Raw genomic sequence first — 19,346 nt, forward strand, 5'->3', positions numbered from 1 at the left:
AGGAAGTAATAAGTTGAGGATAGCTGCTGTATAATAAATGATTGTATGTTTAACAAGTTAATGCAAGGAAAAATATAATAAAATGTCTAATCCAAAGGAAAGCAAGAAAGCAGGAAATCTGAAAAAAAAAGGATGGTAGATTTAACTCTAACTACCAATAATTTAGACATCATAAACAGACAAATTTCTCTAAGTAAAATTTTTAAATTATTAAACAAGATTAAAATGAAAGGTTTATGCTGCTTATAAAATACACACTGCAATAATATCATAAAATGACTTTGAAAATTAAAAAACGGAAAGTACATATCATGCAAAAACTGAATTGACGAAACCTGACTTATACTTTAAGGCGAAGGAGAAAAGGGGACATTTCATAATGATAAGTGGGTCAATCTATTAGGAAATCATTAAAATACTAAATCTATATAGACCCAAAATATAACTTAAAAGTATATAAATAAAAAATTGATTAAATAAAGAAAAAGTCAACTCCATGTTATGGTGGGAGACTTTATGCTCAAGAGGTGATAGAAAAGCAGAAAATAACATAATAAGGATTTAAAAGATTTGATCAATATAATTACCACATTTGACATAGTTAAAGAAGAAAAAAGGTATATGGTCGTCTCAATTGGTATAGAAAGAAGCACTGGACAAAATTTAGACCCTGTTTATGTAAAAATGTCCTAGAAAATTAGAAATGGAAAAATACCTTCCTTACCTCTTAGAGAATACACAGGCAGACAGAGAGACAGACAGACACACACACACACACACACACACACAATCACATTAAATGCTGAAAAATTGTTTTTCTTCATTTTGGAATTAGATATTTTTAAAAGATGTAAAGTATCATCATTCCTAGATAATACTGTACTGGACCTCTTACTAGTATAAAGGGCAAGAAAAAGAAATAAAATACATGAGTACTGGAAATAAAGAAAACGAATAGTTATTATTTGTAGATGGTATAATTGTTTGGATAGTAAACCAAAACCACAATCTAGAGGTCTTCTTTAACATTTTAATAATGTTTTGTACAGTATCAAGACTTCACATCTTAGGCCCGCCGCAGTGGCTCACACCAATAATCCCCATACTTTGGGCAGATGAGGCAGGCGAATGACATGAGGCCAGGAGTTTAAGACCCACCTGGCCAACATGGTGAAATCCTGCCTCTACTAAAAATACAAAAATTAGCCAGTCGTGGTGGTGTACACCTGTAATCCCAGCTACTCAGGAGGCTGAGGCACGAGAAGAGCTTGAACCCGAGAGACGGAGGTTGCAGTGAGCTGAGATTGTGCCATTGCACTCCAGCCTGGGCAATAGAGACTGTCTTAAAAAAAAAAAAAAAAAAAAAAATGCCGGGCGCAGTGGCTAAAGTCTGTAATCCCAGCACTTTGGCAGGTGGGCAGATCACATATTTCACAATTCCATCTCCAATTTGTTTGTTGCTGGTATGATCTTTTTGCACATGGTTTTTATATTTATTGACTTTTCTAAATTTATTTATTCATTCAAAAGTATGTATTTGCCTTTACTACAGTTACCTGATTTTTAAATTGTCCTTTGAATCGTGTACTAGCTAATAACATTAAATTGACTTTTAGAAATAAAATTATATATGTTCCTTATAAAAATTCTATGGGCATCCCTACCAGATTTAGATACTTGACTTTCTGAATTTATTTCCGAAAATAAGTTCTCTGTTTATTATTGATTCACCAAGAAAAAATAAGTAAAGAAATATTTTCCTATTAACACCCTCGTCTCTATGAGAAATCATCAGCTCTATGTAACTATTTTTGCCAACTGCAAGCCCATTTGCTGATTGTCTACTGAAGCTCTTGGCATAAAAATACAACAGTGAGTTCTAGAGAAGACCTGATCCTGTGCTGCCTGGATCATAAGAGAAAGACCAATAAAATAATGGAGTATATACCTGAAATTTTGAATAGTCAAGCATTCCAATCGGTGTATTATTTTCTCAGAATGTATTTATTGAAAATTCAAAGCACAAAAAGAATGCAATTTAGCAAGCACTTACTTAATAGGGCAAGGATGATACAGTGTTTAGTAAGGTACCTTCTAGAGCTGTGGTCAAGACAGATTTTGGTGGTCCTCCTCTTTCAGTAAAAAAAGACAATGATTTGTTGATTTCTCCTATGTGCCTAGGAAAGGTGAGTGGCAACATATTCGAGATATAACTAATTCTGTTACAGAGCAAAAACCAGTGATATCTTCTCAGTAGCATTTTTTGTCTAATATGTAAACTCAGAAAATAATTATTAATTAATAAATAATTTTAGCTGCTTTAAAATTACGCATTTTCAAATATGTTCCTAGGTGCCTCTTTTCTTGCAGTTCAAGAAATTAACTTGCAGTTCAAATATGAATTCACCTGATAAGAAAAGAATAGTGTGTCTTAGCAGATATTACAGTACATTGCACAAAACCTTCACATATCTAGGACTCAAAAATATATTTGACACATTTTAAACATGAAAATATTATTAAATTAGTGATTCAGACATTTAATTAATCTTTTAAGGTAATTTGTGCATTGGCTTTTTGTTAGACATATCAACACTTCAATTTTTTATTTCTATGTTTGAATTTAAATATATTTAAATTGGTTTAATACAATTATAAAATCAAATTTCAATAAGCAACAAGGAAGTAAACTCTATAAAATATATCAAATACTTAACCATAAATGTTTGCAATAAACTCTGAAATAAAGATTACAATATTATATTGAAACAGTGGCAAGTTCACAAAGAAGTATGTTAAGGCTCACAATAATGAGCAACAAATTAAAGGCAAAACTGACCTGTATATAATCACATTACTTTATCCAGTCTGTCACTGATGGACATTTAGGTTGACTCCATGTCTGCTACTGCGAATAGTGCTGAAATGAACATTCACGTGCATATGTCTTCATAATAGAACAATTTATATTCCTTTGGGTACATACACGGTAATGAGATTGCTGGGTCTAATGGTAGTTCTGTCTTTAGCTCTTTGAGGAATTGCCACACTGTCTTCCACAATGGTTGAACTAATTTATACTCCCACCAAGAGTATATAAGCATTCGTTTTTCTCCACATCCTCTCCAGCATTTATTTTTTGACATTTTGGTAATACCAGTTCTAACTGGTGTGAGATGATATCTCGTTGTGGTTTTGATTTGCATTTCTCTAACAATCAGTGATATTGAACTTTTTTCCATATAAGTGTTGGCCACTTGTAAGTCTTTTGAAAAGTATCTGTTCATGTCCTCTGCCCACTTTTTAATGGAGCTATTTTTTTCTTGTAAATTTGTTTAAGTTCTTTATAGATGCTGGATATTAAACTGTTGTCAGATGCAGAGTTTGCAAACATTTTCTCCCTTTCTATAGGTTGTCTGTTTATTCTGCTGATAGTATCTTTGGCTGTGCAGAAGATCTTTAGTTTAATTAAATCCCATTTGTCAATCTTTGCTTCTGTTGCAATAGCTTTTGGTGTCTTTGTAATGAAATATTTGCCCATGTCTATGTCCTGAATGGTATTGCCTAGGTTGTCTTCCAGGATTTTTAGAGTTTTTGGGTTTTACATTTAAGTCTGTAATCCATCGTTAGTTAATTTTTGTATATGGTGTAAGGAAGGGGTCCAGTTTCAATCTTCTGCATATGGCTACCCAGTTATCCCAGCACAATTTCTTGAATAGGGAATCCTTTCTCCATTGCTTGCTTTTGTCAAATTTGTCAAAGATCAGATAGTTGTAGGTATGCAGTCTTATTTGCAGGTTCTCTATTCTGTTCCATTGATCTATGTATCTGTTTTTGTACCAGTACCATGCTGTCTTGGTTACTGTAGCCTTGTAGTATAGTCTGAAGTCAGGCAGTGTAATGCCTCCAGCTTTGTGCTTTTTGTTTACAATTGCTTTGACTATTTGGGCTCTTTTTTGGTTCCATATAAATTTTAAAACAGTTTTTTTCTAGTTTGTAGATAATCACAATGGTACTTTAATGATAATAGCATTGAATATATAAATTGCTTTTGGCAATATGGTCATTATAACGAAATTCATTCTTCCTGTCTATGAACATGGAATGTTTTTCCATTTAATTGTGTCATTTCTGATTTCTTTGAGCAATGTTTTATAGTCCTCTTTATAGAGATCTTTCACCTCTTGGGCTAGCTGCATTCCTAGGTATTTTCTTTCTCTTTGTGGCAATTTTGAATGTTATTGCATTACTGATTTGGCTCTCAGCTTGGCTCTTCTTGGAGCACAGAAATATTAGTAATTTTTGTACATTGAGTTTGTATCCTGGAACTTGGCTGAAGTTGTTTGTCAGCTTAAGTAGCTTTTGGGCTGAGACTATGGGGTTCTCTAGAGATATATTCATGTGAGGCCAGGCGCAGTGGCTAGTGCCTGTAATCCCAGCACCTTGGGAGGCCAAGGTGGGTGGATCACTTGAGATCAGGAGTTCGAGACCAGCCTGGTCAACGTGGTGAAACTCCATCTCTAGTAAAACTACAAAAGTTAGCTGAGCATGGTGGTGCATACCTGTAATCCCAGCTACTCAGGAGGCTGAGGATGGAGGATCATTTGACTCCATGAGGTGGAGGTTGCAGTGAGCAGAGATTATACTGCGACACTCCAGCCTGGGTGACAGAGCAAGATTCTGTCTCAAAAAAAAAAGGAAATCATGTCATATGCAGCAAGGATAGTTTGACTTCCTCTCTTCCTGTTTGGGTGCCTTTTATTTCCTTCTTTTGCCTGATTGCTCTGGTCAGTACTTCTAACACCATGCTGTTAGGATTAGTGGAGAGAGGGCATCATTGTCTTGTTACAGTTTTCAAGGGGAAAGCTTCTAACTTTTGCCCACTCAGTGTGATGCTGGCTATGGCTTCGTTCTAAATGTCTCTTATTATTTTGAGGTATGTTCCTTCAATATCTAGTTTGTTGAGAGTTTTTAACATAAAGGGATGTTAAATTTTATCAAATGTCTTTTCCGCATCTATTGAGATGATCAAGCCATTTCTGTGCTTAGTTCTGTTTGTGTGATGAATTATATTTATTTATTTGCATATGTTGAACCAAACTTATATCCTGTGGATAAAGTCTCTTGATCATGGTAGATTAGCTCTTTGATATGTTGCTGGATTTGATTTGCTAGTATTTTGCTGAGGATTTTTACATCGATATTCATCAACCATATTGGCTTGAAGTTGTTGTTGCATCTCTGCCAGGTTTTGGTATGATGCTGGCCTCATAGAATGAGTTAGGGAGGAGTCCCTCCTCATATATATATATATATATATATATATATATATATATATATACATATTTTTTTTTTTTGAGACAGAGTCTTACTCTGTTGCCCAGGCTGGAGTGCAGTGATGTGATCTCGGCTCACTGCAAGCCCCACCTCCCGGGTTCAAGCAATTGTCCAGCCCCAGCCTCCCATGTAGCTGAGATTACAGGCACATGCCACCATGCCAGCCTAATTTTTCTGTTTTTAGTACAGACGGGGTTTTACCATGTTGGCCAGGCTGGTCTCGAACTCCTGACCTCAGGTGATTCACCCACCTCGGACTCCCAAAGTGCTGGAATTACAGGCATGAGTGACCAAACCCAGCCTTTCCTCTTCACTTTTTTGGAATACCTTTAGTAGGAATGGTAACAGCTCTTCTTTGTACATCTGATAGAATTCAGTTGTGAATCCATTTGGACCTGGGATTTTTTTGGTTAGTAGGCTATTTATTACTGATTCAATTACAAGCTCATTTTTGCTCACTTCAGGGACTCAATTTCTTTCTGGTTCAGTCTTGGGAGGGTGTATGCACCCAGGAATTTATCTATTTCTTCTAGATTTTCTAGTTATTGTGCATAGAGGTGTTCATAGTAGTCTCTGATGGTTAGTTGTATTTCTGTGGGGTCAGTGATAATGTCCTTTTGTCACTTCTAATTTTATGTATTTGGATACTCACTCTTTTCTTCTTTATTAGTCTAGCTAGTGGTCTATTTATCTCATTAGCTTTTTCAAAATAAAAACAGGCACTGGCTTCATTGATCTTTTGAATTTTTTTGTGTGTCTTATCTACTTCAGTTCAACTCTGATTTTGGTTATTTCTTGTTTTCTGCTAGATTTGGAATTGGTTTTCCCTTGCTTCTCTAGTTCTTTTAGTTGTGATGTTAGGCTGTTAATCTGAGGTATAACTTTCTGATGTGGGCATTTAGTGCTATAAATTTCCCTCTTAACACTGCCTAACCTGTGTCCCAGAGATTCTGGTATATTGTATCTTTGTTCTCATTCATTTCAAAGAACGTTTTGATTTCTGCCTTAACTTCATTATTTACCCAAGTCATTCAGGAGCATGTTGTTTAATTTCCATGGTTTTGAGTTATTTTCTTAGTCTTGAATTCTACATTCATTTTTCTGTGGTCCAAGAGAGAGGTTGGTATGATTTTGGTTCTTTTGCACTTGCTGAATATTGATGTATGTCCGATTGTGCGGTCAATTTTAGCATATGTGCCATGTGGTGATGAGAATATATATATTCTGTTGTTTTGGGGTGAAGAGTTCTGCAGATTTCTATAAGGTCCATTTGATCCAGGGTTGAGTCCAAGTCCTGAATATCTTTGTTAATTTTCTGCCTCAGAAAATTAATTATACAGATTATAATCTGTATAATACTGTCAGTGGGGTGTTGAAATCTCCCACTATTATTGTGTGGGAATCTAAGTCTCCTTGAAAGTGTCTAAGAACTTTCTTTATGAATCTAGGTGATCTTGAGCTGGCAGCATATAGATTTAGAGTAACTAGATCTTCTTGGTGAATTGAACCCTTTACTGTTATGTAATGCCCTTCTTTGTCTTTTTGATTTTTGTTGACTTAAAGTCTGTTTCATCTGAAATTAGAATTAAAATCCTGTTTTTTTTCTGTTTTCCATTTGCTTGGTAGATTTTTCTCCATCCCTTTATATGAGTCCATGGGCTTCATTGCATGTGAGATGGGTCTCCTTAAGGCAGCATAACATTTGGTCTTGCTTCTTTATCCAGCTTGCCACCCTGTGTCTTTTAAGTGGGGCGTTTAGCCTGTTGACATTCAAGGTTAGTATTGATATGTTAGATTTGATACCACCATCATGCTGTTAGCCTGTTATTTTGCCAACTTGTTTGTGTGGTTGCTTTATAATGTCACTGGTCTGTGTACTTCAGTGTGTTTTTATAGTGGCTGATAACAGTGTTTCATTTCCATATTTAGTGCTTCTTCCAGAAGCTTGTGTTAGGCAGGTCTGGTGGTAACAAATTTCCTGAGCATTTGCTTGTCTGAAAAGGATCTTATTTCTCCTTTGCTTCCGAAGCTTAGTTTGTCCAAATATGAAATTCTTAGTTGGAATTTATTTTCTTTAAGAATGTTAAATATAGGCCCCCAGTCTCTTCTGCTGAGAGGTCTTCTGTTAGTCTGATGGCTTCCCTTTGTAGGTGATCTGTTTTTTCTCTCTAGCTGCCTTTAACATTTTTTTTCTTTCATTTTAACCTTTGAGAATTGAAGATTATGTGTCTTGGGGATGATCTTGTGAAGTATTTTGTTATGGTTCTCTGCATTTCCTGAATTTGAATGTTGGCCTCTCTAGCTAAATTGGGAAAGCTCTCATGGATGATGTCCTGAAATATGTTTTCCAGATTTCTTCCATTCTCCCCTATCCTTTTCAGAAATGCCAATGAGTAATAGATATTTCTTGAAGGTTTTGTTCATTTTTTTATTCTTTTTTTAAAATTTTTGTCTGCCTATCTTATTGCAGAAAGCCAGTCTTCGAGCTCTGAGATTTTGCCTCAGCTTGGCCTATTCTGCTGTTAACACATGTGATTTCATTATGAAACTCTTGTATTGTGTTTTTAGCTCTATCTGGTAAGTTATATTCTTTTCCAAAATACTGACTATTTTGTCTGTCAGTTCCTGTATCAATTTATTGTGATTTTTAGCTTCCTTAGGTAGGTTTCAACAATCTCCTGAATTTCAATGATCTTTGTTCTTATTTATATTCTTAATTCTGTTTCTTTTATTTCAGCAATCTTGGCCCAGTTAAGAACCCCTTGCTGGAGAACTAGTCTGGCACTTGAAGAAAAGAAGGCACTCTGTCTTTTTGAGATTTAAGAGTTCTTGTGCTAGTTCCTTCTCATCTTTGTGGGCTTTCAGTCTTTGAAGTGGCTGTCCTTTGATTTGGTTCTTGTTTTTTTTTTCTTTTATTCTATTTGATAACCTTGAAGGTTTGATTGTGTTATAAGCTGGGTTCAGTCAATTGGCTTCATTTCTGGAAGATTTTATGGAGCCAAGGCACAGCTCAGGACTCTTGGACTGCATGCTCTAACCCTTGGGGACAGGTATTGGTACCCACCTTTGTTCTCTGGCTCCTCAAGGTTAAGAACCTGATGCACTGGAGGGGCCAAGGTGCTCTTGGACCGCTGGTCACAACACTTCTGTGGGTGGTGCCAGCCAAAGCAGTTCATAGGGTGGTGGCAGTGGGATCCATCCTTGTTTGTATGTGTCAGCAGCAATGGCAGCCACAGGTGTGCACTCATCAGCTGTGGCAGGGTGCTAGTGGGTGCTGGGGTGCCAGCTTCCATGCAAGCATTTTCAGCAGTGACAGTGGCAGCATGACTCATAGGGGGAGTGGGGCCTGCCAGTGACTGTACACACGTTTGAGCTGGTGGTGTATTAACACAGGGGTGGGGAATTGGTAGGCACAGGACTGTATGCAGACTCTGTGCATGTTCACGTGGGCAGTGGTGGCCACTCAAGGTGGGGGTGTGTTCACTTTTCACTATGCCTTTTTTTGTGCCAGCTAACAGTGTCAGCACAGACAAAGTGGCACAGGGGAGTCTGTGCACAAGGGATGCTGCAGTGGTGGAATAACACTGGAGGCCTGGTATATGTCCATGGGAGCCACTCTGCTGGAGCATTTTCCCTGTCAGATGCAATCTGCCAGTGCAGGAGCTATGATGTGGGCCCCCAGGATGTACCTAGGGGCTGCAATGCAAGCAGGAATGGTAAGGCTGTGGCCCCGGGAGACAGTAGCAGCCCAAGGGACAGTCAGATCATATTGGCCCTGTTTCATGGACAAGATCACTCTGCAGAGTTTATGTCATACAGTTCCCCTAGGACTAAAGTCTCCTGTGGGAGCAAGTTGAGCCTAGGGGGATGAGTGTCCCTGGCCATATTCCACTACAGACACTCCTGCACCAAACACTCTGGGCTCTGTGCTGGCTGGAATTCTGTCCCTATCATTTCTCTAAGTAGCTCTCCCTGACAAATCAAGTGTCTTTGGTGTTCAAGGGATTCCAGACACCTAAGTTGCTCTTTGTTGGTTCAACTCATCCCTATCACAGGAGTCACTGGGAGCCAGGAATGTGTCCTGGTACATGGTAGCCCCACACAGTGTTCCCAGCTTCCTCCCCCTTCAGCCCAGCATCTTCGTCTTCCCTTCATCTATTCTCAGTGCCTTCCCTCTGAAGATCTGCTAGAAGTGCACCAGTCTTTCTAATGTCCCAGTCCCTTGGTGCAAGCTCTTCCTCCTGGCTGTGACTAGTCAGCCATCTTGGAGCAGCTGTCGTGGAAATAGAATTCTATGTTGGCAGGTCTTTTCTTTCATTACTTGAAATGGTGTTATTTCCTTCTAACCTTCATAGTTTCTGAGAAGGAATTCTCTGCCATTCAAATCATTTTTCCCCTAAAGTTTACAAGTAGTTTTTTAAAAATTCTGCCTTTAAAGATTTTCTTTGTGTTTAGTTTTTAGAAGTTTGACTAGGATATGCCTTACCATAGATTTCTTTTTATCTTGTGTCTACATCCATTTCCTTTTGGCCTATTTTCCCACTGTTGTTTAGATTGGATAATAGTAATTACCCAATTACTAGTAGATAATTATTATCTATTATCTATTATCACTTTCCTGTGTCTACTCTTTTCTGCTATTAGGCCATACACTGAGCTGCTCATACAGTGATTGTATCTTTCAATTCTTAAATTTCCATTTTTCTTTTATAAAATTTCATATTTCATTCTTGATGCCATTATTTCATTTGTCTCAAGCTTTTTTTGCAATTGTTCATTGATGCATTTTTATGATGGCTGCTTTAAAATCCTTTTAAGATAATTTTAACATATCTGTCATATAAGGGCTAAATAGCTACTAGTTTTCCTTTCCCATTCAAGTAGAGATTTTCTTAATTTTTGGTATAAAAACTGCAATTTGATTGATATATGGACCTTTTCGATGTTGTGTTATAGTCCCGGACGTGATATTTTGAATGTTCTAACAAGCTCCCAGTTCATGAAAATGCTGTGGCTGCTGGACTACAGAGGCAAAGAGCCAATTAGATAAAAGGTTTTCTATCCTACTTGCATCTATAAATATTCTGGGAAGATTTTTAAACATGCGGGTGCCTGAACTCCAGTCAAGTATTTCTAGCCAACTAGGCTAGGATAAGAGCAGGCAGCAATACTTTTAAAATATTCCCATTTGATTCTACTATGTGGCTAGAATTACCTTGAAAAGGGTGATTCATAGCTTTCAGGTGTGAATGAACACCTGAAAATGAACACACATGATACATGTTGCTGAGGGAAGTATATTGTAAGACACAAAACTAAAAAATTTCCATGCATTTTTTAAGCCTTGAAGGTTTTTGCTATAGTGGCACTTCTCCTGAAAGAGCTGGAGCAATGGAGCCACTTAGAAATATTTTCCTTTTCCTACCTTATTTTAATTATTTGTAATTTTACTTTACATTAGTTGAGGATTAATTATCATCTAATTATGGTGTGTGTTCTTCAATCCAGACATATTCCCAGATATATTCCTCCTCTAACCAAAAATGTAGCAGAAAACGATCTTTTCATGATAGTTTTACTATTTGCTGAAATAGGTATGTTTGGTTGCCTTCTTGTATACTGGCATGAGGAACCCTGCTTTACCACAGCTTGAGGTTTAGCTTCAGGATTATCTACAGTAGTCCCAAGTAGAAGCACATACTCCCGGATATCCAGGAGTAGATGTCTGTGGCCAACAGGGCCTAAAATTGCATTACTGGACACACATGTCCGCCAGCTGGGTTCCTGTGTAGGATGACTAAAGAGTCTGCTCGTACTCCTGGCCCTTGGCTTCCTGAACCATTACTTCATTCTACTATGGTCATTGATTTAAAGATTCAGAACACCTTGAGGGAGAGCATCTAAAATCTGCAGAATATTATACCCTTGTGGATTTCTTTGCGTGATATATTTGGTAGAACCAATGGATGCTATAATCACGTGGCTATTATTTTGTTTCTTTCCCCACAATGTAGGAACATGGTTCTGAAATATTCCCATATTAATACAAAAAATGCTCTCAGAGCACTGAGATAGCCAATTGTCTATGGGCAGGAAAGGTAAACATACATCTAGAATACAGGAGGATCCTAGTTAGGATGCATCACAGTCACCTCCAGGGGACAGTGATCTGATATCCCAAATAACCACCCACTTGTTGAAGATATTTGTCTCTGCTGCTGAGAAGTTGGATACCCAGAAGTGGCAACAGTGGGATCAACACAAGTGGTGATGGTTGTTGTGAGGCATGGTTCATGTCATTTTACTCATTCATAGCCCTGTTCAGGCTATGATGGCTACTTCATTACAGACTCTATTATGCAAATATTGTGGAAGTTAAGAGAAAAGACTGAGTTCCGTTAATCTGCTTACAAGTGGATGAGCCTTCCAGTATGATTGGTTGTTTGGTGTCTTACTGTGGAAGATATTCTCTGCTTTTTGCAGAGATAAATAAAATTTTGCACATGTAATTTCTTATTCATATGAGTGCATCCACATACCTCTCCTCTAGAGCTTCTTCTCTGTGATCTTCCAATTTTCTTTATCAAAGACTATGGCCAACCAGCTATCACTAATTCATGCATATACTTGACTCAGTACATGTCTCTCTCCACACTAAGTTGAACACTACATGCTGTCCTCAAATATCTGCTAACTCAAGGTAACACCTCACAGCCACCCATGATTGTGGCCAAAATGTGGGAGCAGCCTACTTTTACTTGCACAAATATATGATGCTAACCCATTCAAAAAGCCTAGATTTTCTTAGTGTTGTTTTGGTTTTCTTCTTTTATTTGTTTGCATTTTTTGTTTCCCCCCTTGCTATTAGCTGATTGAGAAAACTCATGAGGTCACTGGAGTGAGCTGATGCAAAGGTGTTAGAGTAAGAGAGAAAAATGGTAGGAGGAACAGGAACACCTGTTCATGTAAATGAAGCACAGCCTCTGAACCTGCTTGAACCAAACCCCAAAAGTACCTAATATTCATCCTAATATTGAATGGTGCTGAGCCTCACCTGACCCTAAAAATTGGTGAGACTGGCCTCCTCCACTTATGAGGGGCAGTTCAGTCACATACTTTTTAAATGCCTCATGGGACTACCTACCATTATGTAGTGATATTCTGCATTTTGAACAAGAAATTTTTTATTTGTTATCTGGTCATTGCTTGGTCTTCTCTAAAATCCCAGGGATTTATGCCGTGAGTTTTATTGGAGTTTGCAAGAGAGTTCATGAAGTATTCCCATCTAATGCAGATGCATCTAGCACCGAACAATGTTCTGGATCACATGGCTCAAGTGACAGAGCTACTTGTGTCAAAGCCCAAAACCTTCCTCAAAATCTTCTCTTTTTCTGAGCCCACTCCAAAAAGCAGCCTTCCAAGTTAGCTTATAAGTGCGGTGGTGGAGTAGACCCAAGTGTGGGATTTGTTATGTCAATACTCTAAGCAGGCCTTGCCAACACTGTGCTGCATTCTCAGTGATTGGAGCTGCAAAGTACAATTATTTGTCCTTACCTTGAAGGGGATGAGCCAACGCTACTCATGTTCCTTCACTAAATCCCTGATACCTTCTCCAATGTGACAGGTCCTTAACTTTTGTAGGGTTGAATCCCACACTCTGGTCTTCATGTGCTTTCACTGAAAATCCAGAGTCCTTATTATTTTCTGCTTATCCTATCTAGTTACCACGATGACATCAATATCGTGTTGTATGGAGTGATGCTTTGTGAAGCGTCCACAGGATCAAAGTTTCTTCAGCCTCATTGTGAATGTGTTGTCAGGAAAGTTAAGATAGCCCTGTGCCGAGACTGAGGATGTGAGCTGCTGTTCACCCCAGATGACTGCAGAGCCTCCCAGAGACTGCGATGGACTCTTCCTTCACTCTGAGGCTGGGCCCTGGGTCTGGTCAAGCCCTGCCGGGGCCTCAGCGGCGCTCATCTGCAGGTGCCAGCAGAGGGCGCCTCTCACATTCCCCGAAGGGGCGGGGAGGGCGCTCTCCTGACAACAGTGATGTCTGTGTATTTAAAACAACAGGACATTCCCGTAATTTGCATGTAACCTTCCTCCCACATCTGAAGTGGTCCTGCCTCTCAGTATCTTATAAGAGGCTTTTTCTCCTAGATGTGTCTTCAGCAAAACTGAAGTCAAAACACTGAGATGGTGTCCCCGTTGCAATTCCTGCGGCTTCTGCTCCTCTGGGTTCCAGGTGAGAATATTTAGAAAAAGCTAAAACTAATTCTTTGAACCATTAATTTTCTTAATTAGGAACCTGGCACCATATGGAACTTGGCTTGTTTTTAAATGTGATTTTTTTTTAAGTAATGCGTATTCTTTCATCTTGTGCTACTAGATTAGTGGTGATTTCATTAAGCAGATGCTTATATTGTGCTAATGTTTGCTGTATGGTTTCAGCCTCCAGGGGTGATGTTGTGATGACACAGTCTCCAGCTTTCCTCTCTGTGACTCCAGGGGAGAAAGTCACCATCACCTGCCAGGCCAGTGAAGGCATTGGCAACTACTTATACTGGTACCAGCAGAAACCAGATCAAGCCCCAAAGCTCCTCATCAAGTATGCTTCCCAGTCCATCTCAGGGGTCCCCTCGAGGTTCAGTGGCAGTGGATCTGGGACAGATTTCACCTTTACCATCAGTAGCCTGGAAGCTGAAGATGCTGCAACATATTACTGTCAGCAGGGCAATAAGCACCCTCACACTGTGCTACAACCCAAAACAAAAATTAGCTCAGCCTGGCGGAACAGAGAAACTGAACAATACCCCGTTTTTATGATCCTTGCAGGTGCAGTTGGGGAAATAATTTACCAAATACCATCACATATGGCCCATTCAGCAGAGCTGACACCCAAGAGTCAGTGCCTCACACTTTCATCTTTACCCACAGTAACTTTCAAACTAGGAGAAGAGTTGTTGAAGATTACTTCTCCTGTTTCTTTCCATAGGTGTACAGAAACTGTCCTTTACAAGTTGGTAAAAACTGTGGATTATTCTTCAGGGCTACAGTAATTCATTTATGACAAAATCACTTTAAAGGGTAAAGATTAGGAAACAATCAGGTGATGGCCTGGAGCTCTTTTGACAGAAGAGCCATGGACTCAGGTTTCAGTCATTGTGGGTTCAAAGGAATGAGACATTGTTCCTATTTCCAAAGCGGCTCTGTGAAGTCTGACATTTGTTAAATCAGATTAACATTTAAGGTTCACTTTCACTGAATATTTGGGTTTTGAAACATGAAACTGGTCCATCAAGAACAGGGTTATAAATATCTAGCTATAGCTTTGGAAATGGGGACTATCCCAGAAACAATATTTACCTGGAATAAAAAAGGAATCAGCGTCTTTTGTTGCCAGTCTTAGAAGCAGGACAGGGCTACAAGCCAAAGAAGGTTGAAATCAGCAACTCTTAATTCCTCCATAAGAACTGCTTCACCAAAATCTGAGTGTACCAAAGCAAAAACTACAAAGAGAAAGTAGCTTCAGGAACTCAAGTAAGATGTAAAAACAAAATGGACATTTGATTTTATATCTTGTTTGACATATGAAACACAGGGAGATCACCCATGATCCTTGGAATTTTCTTTTCTGCACATCAAAAGCATTGTCTGTCTCCTGTTTTTCCACCTCTATTATCCAAATTGTGTTTGAAAAAATGTATTTTTTAAATTTTCATTATTCTTGATTAAAAGACCAGTATCTTATTGCTAACATCTTTTAATACCAAGAGAAACTAAATTCATTTTTTTGACTTTGTTTCCTGTGTATTTATTCATTTATTTAAAAATAACTTTGGAATACAATGCAGTCGTTGAGAATTCAGACTTAGTGACATTTTTGTTAAAGATTTTCGTCGTATTTGGTCACATAAAGTTACATCAATTTTCTATCAAACTTTTTTAATAACACAGATATTTTATTCCAAAGAAGTGAAAAAATGCATTGTAAGAAATGATGTGTTTCAGACACTGCCACCAACTTTCTCCACAAGATGTTCCAAGTTGAAGAACATCCTCTGGAAAAAAACTTAAATTTTGTGCCGTGGTTGGTTAAAACCAAGGTCAAGAAAGGCTGAGGAAGAGACAACATTCTGTAAGATTCTTTAGTTTTTATGTGTGTGGGCTGTTTGTATGTGTTCTGAAGCATGTTGCATTCAACCTGTATTCCACTTATTCTATGTATATGCAGAAACCTTAAGGAAAATAAAGTTGTAATTAGAAATATCTGGTCCTGGTATTGGACACCTGCCTGAGGTCACTTATTAGACCCTCCCCATGCTTCAAAGAACTGACTCCCCCACCCTCTCTATCAGGCCCCATCCTCCGTGAGGACCTTTCTTCCTTCTGTGTTGTGTACAGTTCATCATACTGGACATTTTACAAGCAAAGCAGATTTTCAAAATGATGCTTGTTACTCCTATAAATGTGTTTTTATAGATTTGTGTCCAATCAATCTTTTCCAACTGTAAAAGTAGCTAAGTCTCTCTAGTTGAGGGGAATGTATCACATATTTTTCCAATAAGAAAGACAGACATATTTTTGAATTTAATGAATTTTCACTTAATATCATATTTTTCAGGAACAAGTAAATGCCATCATTTGAGGGTAAGATGCATGTGAATAATTAAGACAAATTTTGATCCCAAGCACTGATATTCAGTAGGGGAATGAGCCATGCACAGAACAATAACCACATAATGAAACTGAATAGAATACTTTCAGTAGTTGACAAACTACATAAAAGTCAGGTAATGATATGTGGTATCTGGAGTCTGAGGCCATTTATTTGTGCTGATCGGGGAAGGTCTCAGGGTCATACTGAAGATGTATCTGAGTGATGAGAAGACAATGAAGTGACCGTGGTGAACGGATCACCATTAGGAGGGCAGGGACCGGGGGATTTCAGATAAACAACTGTGTATTGAAAAAAGTATGTTTTTAAACCTTTGTAATAGCCAATCAATCCTATAATAATCCAATGCCTTCTGTGATTTTATTCCCTTAAGAATAAAATTTATCCTAATATCTTTCACCAAATACCTTGGCCTGGATCATACCCATGACACAGAATGTTCTCTTGCTCAGAAGCTGGAAGCCCAGATCTCTCCTTTGTTGCTAGTTTGCAGGCTTCCTAAAGCCCCTCCCTGCCACTCAAGCCCTTATTGGTGTGTTGGTCGCTGCCTTTGGGGTGGGACCATCTGAGGCAGGGGGAGCACTGGACACTGGACATAGCACTCTGGCCCTTAGTGTCCTGGTGCCCTGACCTCAGCTGTGGGGGCTCCATGTGACAGGGCTCAAATGTCCCATGGGACTGAGATTGAGTCCATTGCTCAGGGAGCCCAGCATTCACCTCCTGCATTCACCTACTGCTTGGTCAGCCAGCAGGACTCTGCTGGGAAGCCCACAGAGTGAGACATCATTAATACTGGGGAAGATTTGTGTTTTGTTTCCACCTCAGATTCTAGTGGCAACACTGTAGACCCCAGTCTCCAGTCTCTCCCTCAGTGTCTCCAAGAGGAAGAGTTTCTACCACCTGCCTAGAAGCAGTAGAATCCAGAAAAGATTCCAAAGATCCACCCACGTGGTCTACTTTGACCAACATACAGCCCCAGCTTGGTGCAATGGTCCTGGAAAAGACCCTCGCTTGTTAATTAGCAACTTAGTTGTCCTGATGACATTGTTGGTTATTATTGTCTAAAACTGTGCTGTCTCACGTGGTTAACACTAGCAATGCATAGCTGCAAATATGTAAATCAGACTTAATTAAAGTTAAAAATGTAGATTCTTAGTTATACATGCTGTATTTCAAGGGCTCAGTAACCACATATGATTAATGGCTACCCTTGCAGAGCATAAATACAGACATTTTCATCATCTTAGAAAAATTGTTTTGGCTGGTGCTGACCTCAATGATGACATGTGGTCACTCAGTGTTACTGCTTAGAGCACAGGCCTCAGCAGCTTTCATTCAGAGGGCAGTGTGGCCTGGATCCTTCTTGACTGGAGCTGCTGCTGTGGTCCTCAGAGCTTCTCTGGAAGGCTTTCTTGGATGGGAGGAATGAGACTGGGATGACAGTTCCAGAACAGGGCCCTGTGCTTCCCATCCCCACCCCTGCCATTATGTCCTGCAGGATTCCTCGTGGCCCATCATCTCTTTTCCAAAACTTTGGCATCTCACATGGGTCACAGAATCTAGCCCACAATATTTTTTTGACAAATAACTTTTCTGACTATCTTTTGGCCTCAACTATGCAGCTAGTTTGTTGAGAAGAGAAATTGTTTTGTGAATCTGGCCTAGTGATGGATGAATCTGGCCTGAGATCCCCTTCATTAATACCCGTGAAAAGACTCACGGTCAAGACTCACCGGGACTCAGCATCTACAATCCTATATAAGAGGCTAAGCTACAATCTTAAGACTAGGTGGTAGACAAACCCCATAATAACCCTAAGATATAACCCTGATCAGAGAAATACTTGGAGAGGTTAAGAGTGATAGTGTCCTATTATCAACAGGTAGCCCCTAAGGCTGGAATGTGGTCTCTGTGGTACCTAGAGTACCTGGGAGGAGCTGCCAGCATCCTGCACTGTGGGAACCACCTCTGTGCTCTGTGCTCTGAGACTAGAAGCCCAGCCTTGCCTTCACTGCTGCCTTGGCTGTGTCCCCAAAGCCCATCTGCTATGGACTGAATTGTGCTTCAGAAACTCTTCTCTTGAATCTCTAACCTCTAATATAGCTACATTTGAAGATAAAGCATATAAGGTGGTAATTAGAGTTAAAGGAGATAATAAGGATGGGGCCCTGATTCAATAAGACTAGTGTCTTTATAAAAAGAGACCCCACTGAGCTCTCCTCCACCCCCTCCCTCCATGCATGCAGTGAGGAAAGGCCATGTGAGGACATGGACAGAAGGTGGCATCTGAAAATCAGAGGGAGGGTCCTCAGCAGAAAGCAGACCTTTCTGGACCTTGATCTTGGACTTTCCAGCCTTCCAAACTGTTAGAAGTAAATTTCTTTCCTTTAAGCCATCCTGCCCAGGGAATTTTGATGTGGCAGTCCCAGCAGACAATCTACCGTCCCCACCTTCTCTGAGCAGAATCAGCCTCAGGAGGCACCTTGTGGACTTTGGGACCCAGCTTTTCTTCTCTTCCTCCTTCTGTTCTGACTGCCTGGTGAGGAAGGGGAACTGAGGCTTCATCCTCAGATAGTTTGTATCAAACATGAACATTTCTTTGATGATGAAGTTGTTAGCCCACTTTTTTTCTGATCAGAATTGCATCAAATTGAACAAACTACTTGCTTCGTATTAATATTGGGAGATTTGCATGTTTGTTCCGCACTTGGATAATAGTCAGCATGTTGTGCGGATGCCATCTCCAGCCCCCTCCCTGTGTCCCAAGTGAGAGGGTCACTGTCACCTGCAGGGCCTGCTGGAGTATGAAAAACATCCTAGTCTGGCACCAGCGGAAACCAGATCTGGCTCTGAGCTCCTGCTCCTGCTTGATCCTGCTGCCCCACTGGACATGATCCCTGCCTGGGTCAGGGGCGGTGGGCCTGAACATATTTCACTCTGGCCATCACCAACCAAGATGCCTTCAGAGGTAGGTGCTCCCTCCTCCTGTTTCCTATCATGCACAAATCTTCCCTAGCAACAGCTCTGCCCAGGGGCTGCTAAGGGTCTGAAGTCTTCTCAGGGCAACAGGCTGAGGGACACCTCTGAATTCACTTTGTCTCAAACTCCCTTCCCACCTCCTCTATGGTCACCTCCAGTGTATCTTGTGGGCATCACTGCACGGAGCATGTCAGGATGTTTTCTCCCACCTCCTTCTCTGAATTCATGATGCAAATTCATCCTCACTTCAGACATGGGCTGGCCGCGCCTTGTTTCTCTTATATACATGGCCCAGCACATTGCTGAACCCATAGTTCTGACCCCACTCCATGAATCTTTGTGGAAGGGTCAT

At 39.7% G+C, this 19,346-nt stretch overlaps 1 gene segment (V, D, J or C) and 1 further gene, besides 2 other annotated features; both read left to right on the forward strand.

Annotated features, from left to right (window-relative positions):
- IGK (immunoglobulin kappa locus) overlaps positions 1-19,346 on the forward strand; it is a 1,378,008-nt gene that overhangs the window by 1,198,794 nt on the left and 159,868 nt on the right.
- Positions 13,534-13,582: a sequence feature (IGKV6D-41 leader sequence).
- On the forward strand, positions 13,534-14,086 carry IGKV6D-41 (immunoglobulin kappa variable 6D-41 (non-functional)). The segment is given in 2 exon segments: positions 13,534-13,582; positions 13,789-14,086. Coding segments are annotated over 2 exon segments (347 nt in total).
- Positions 13,789-13,799: a sequence feature (IGKV6D-41 leader sequence).

The sequence above is a fragment of the Homo sapiens genome, chromosome 2, assembly GCF_000001405.40.
Source record: "Homo sapiens chromosome 2, GRCh38.p14 Primary Assembly".
NCBI lineage: Eukaryota > Metazoa > Chordata > Mammalia > Primates > Hominidae > Homo > Homo sapiens.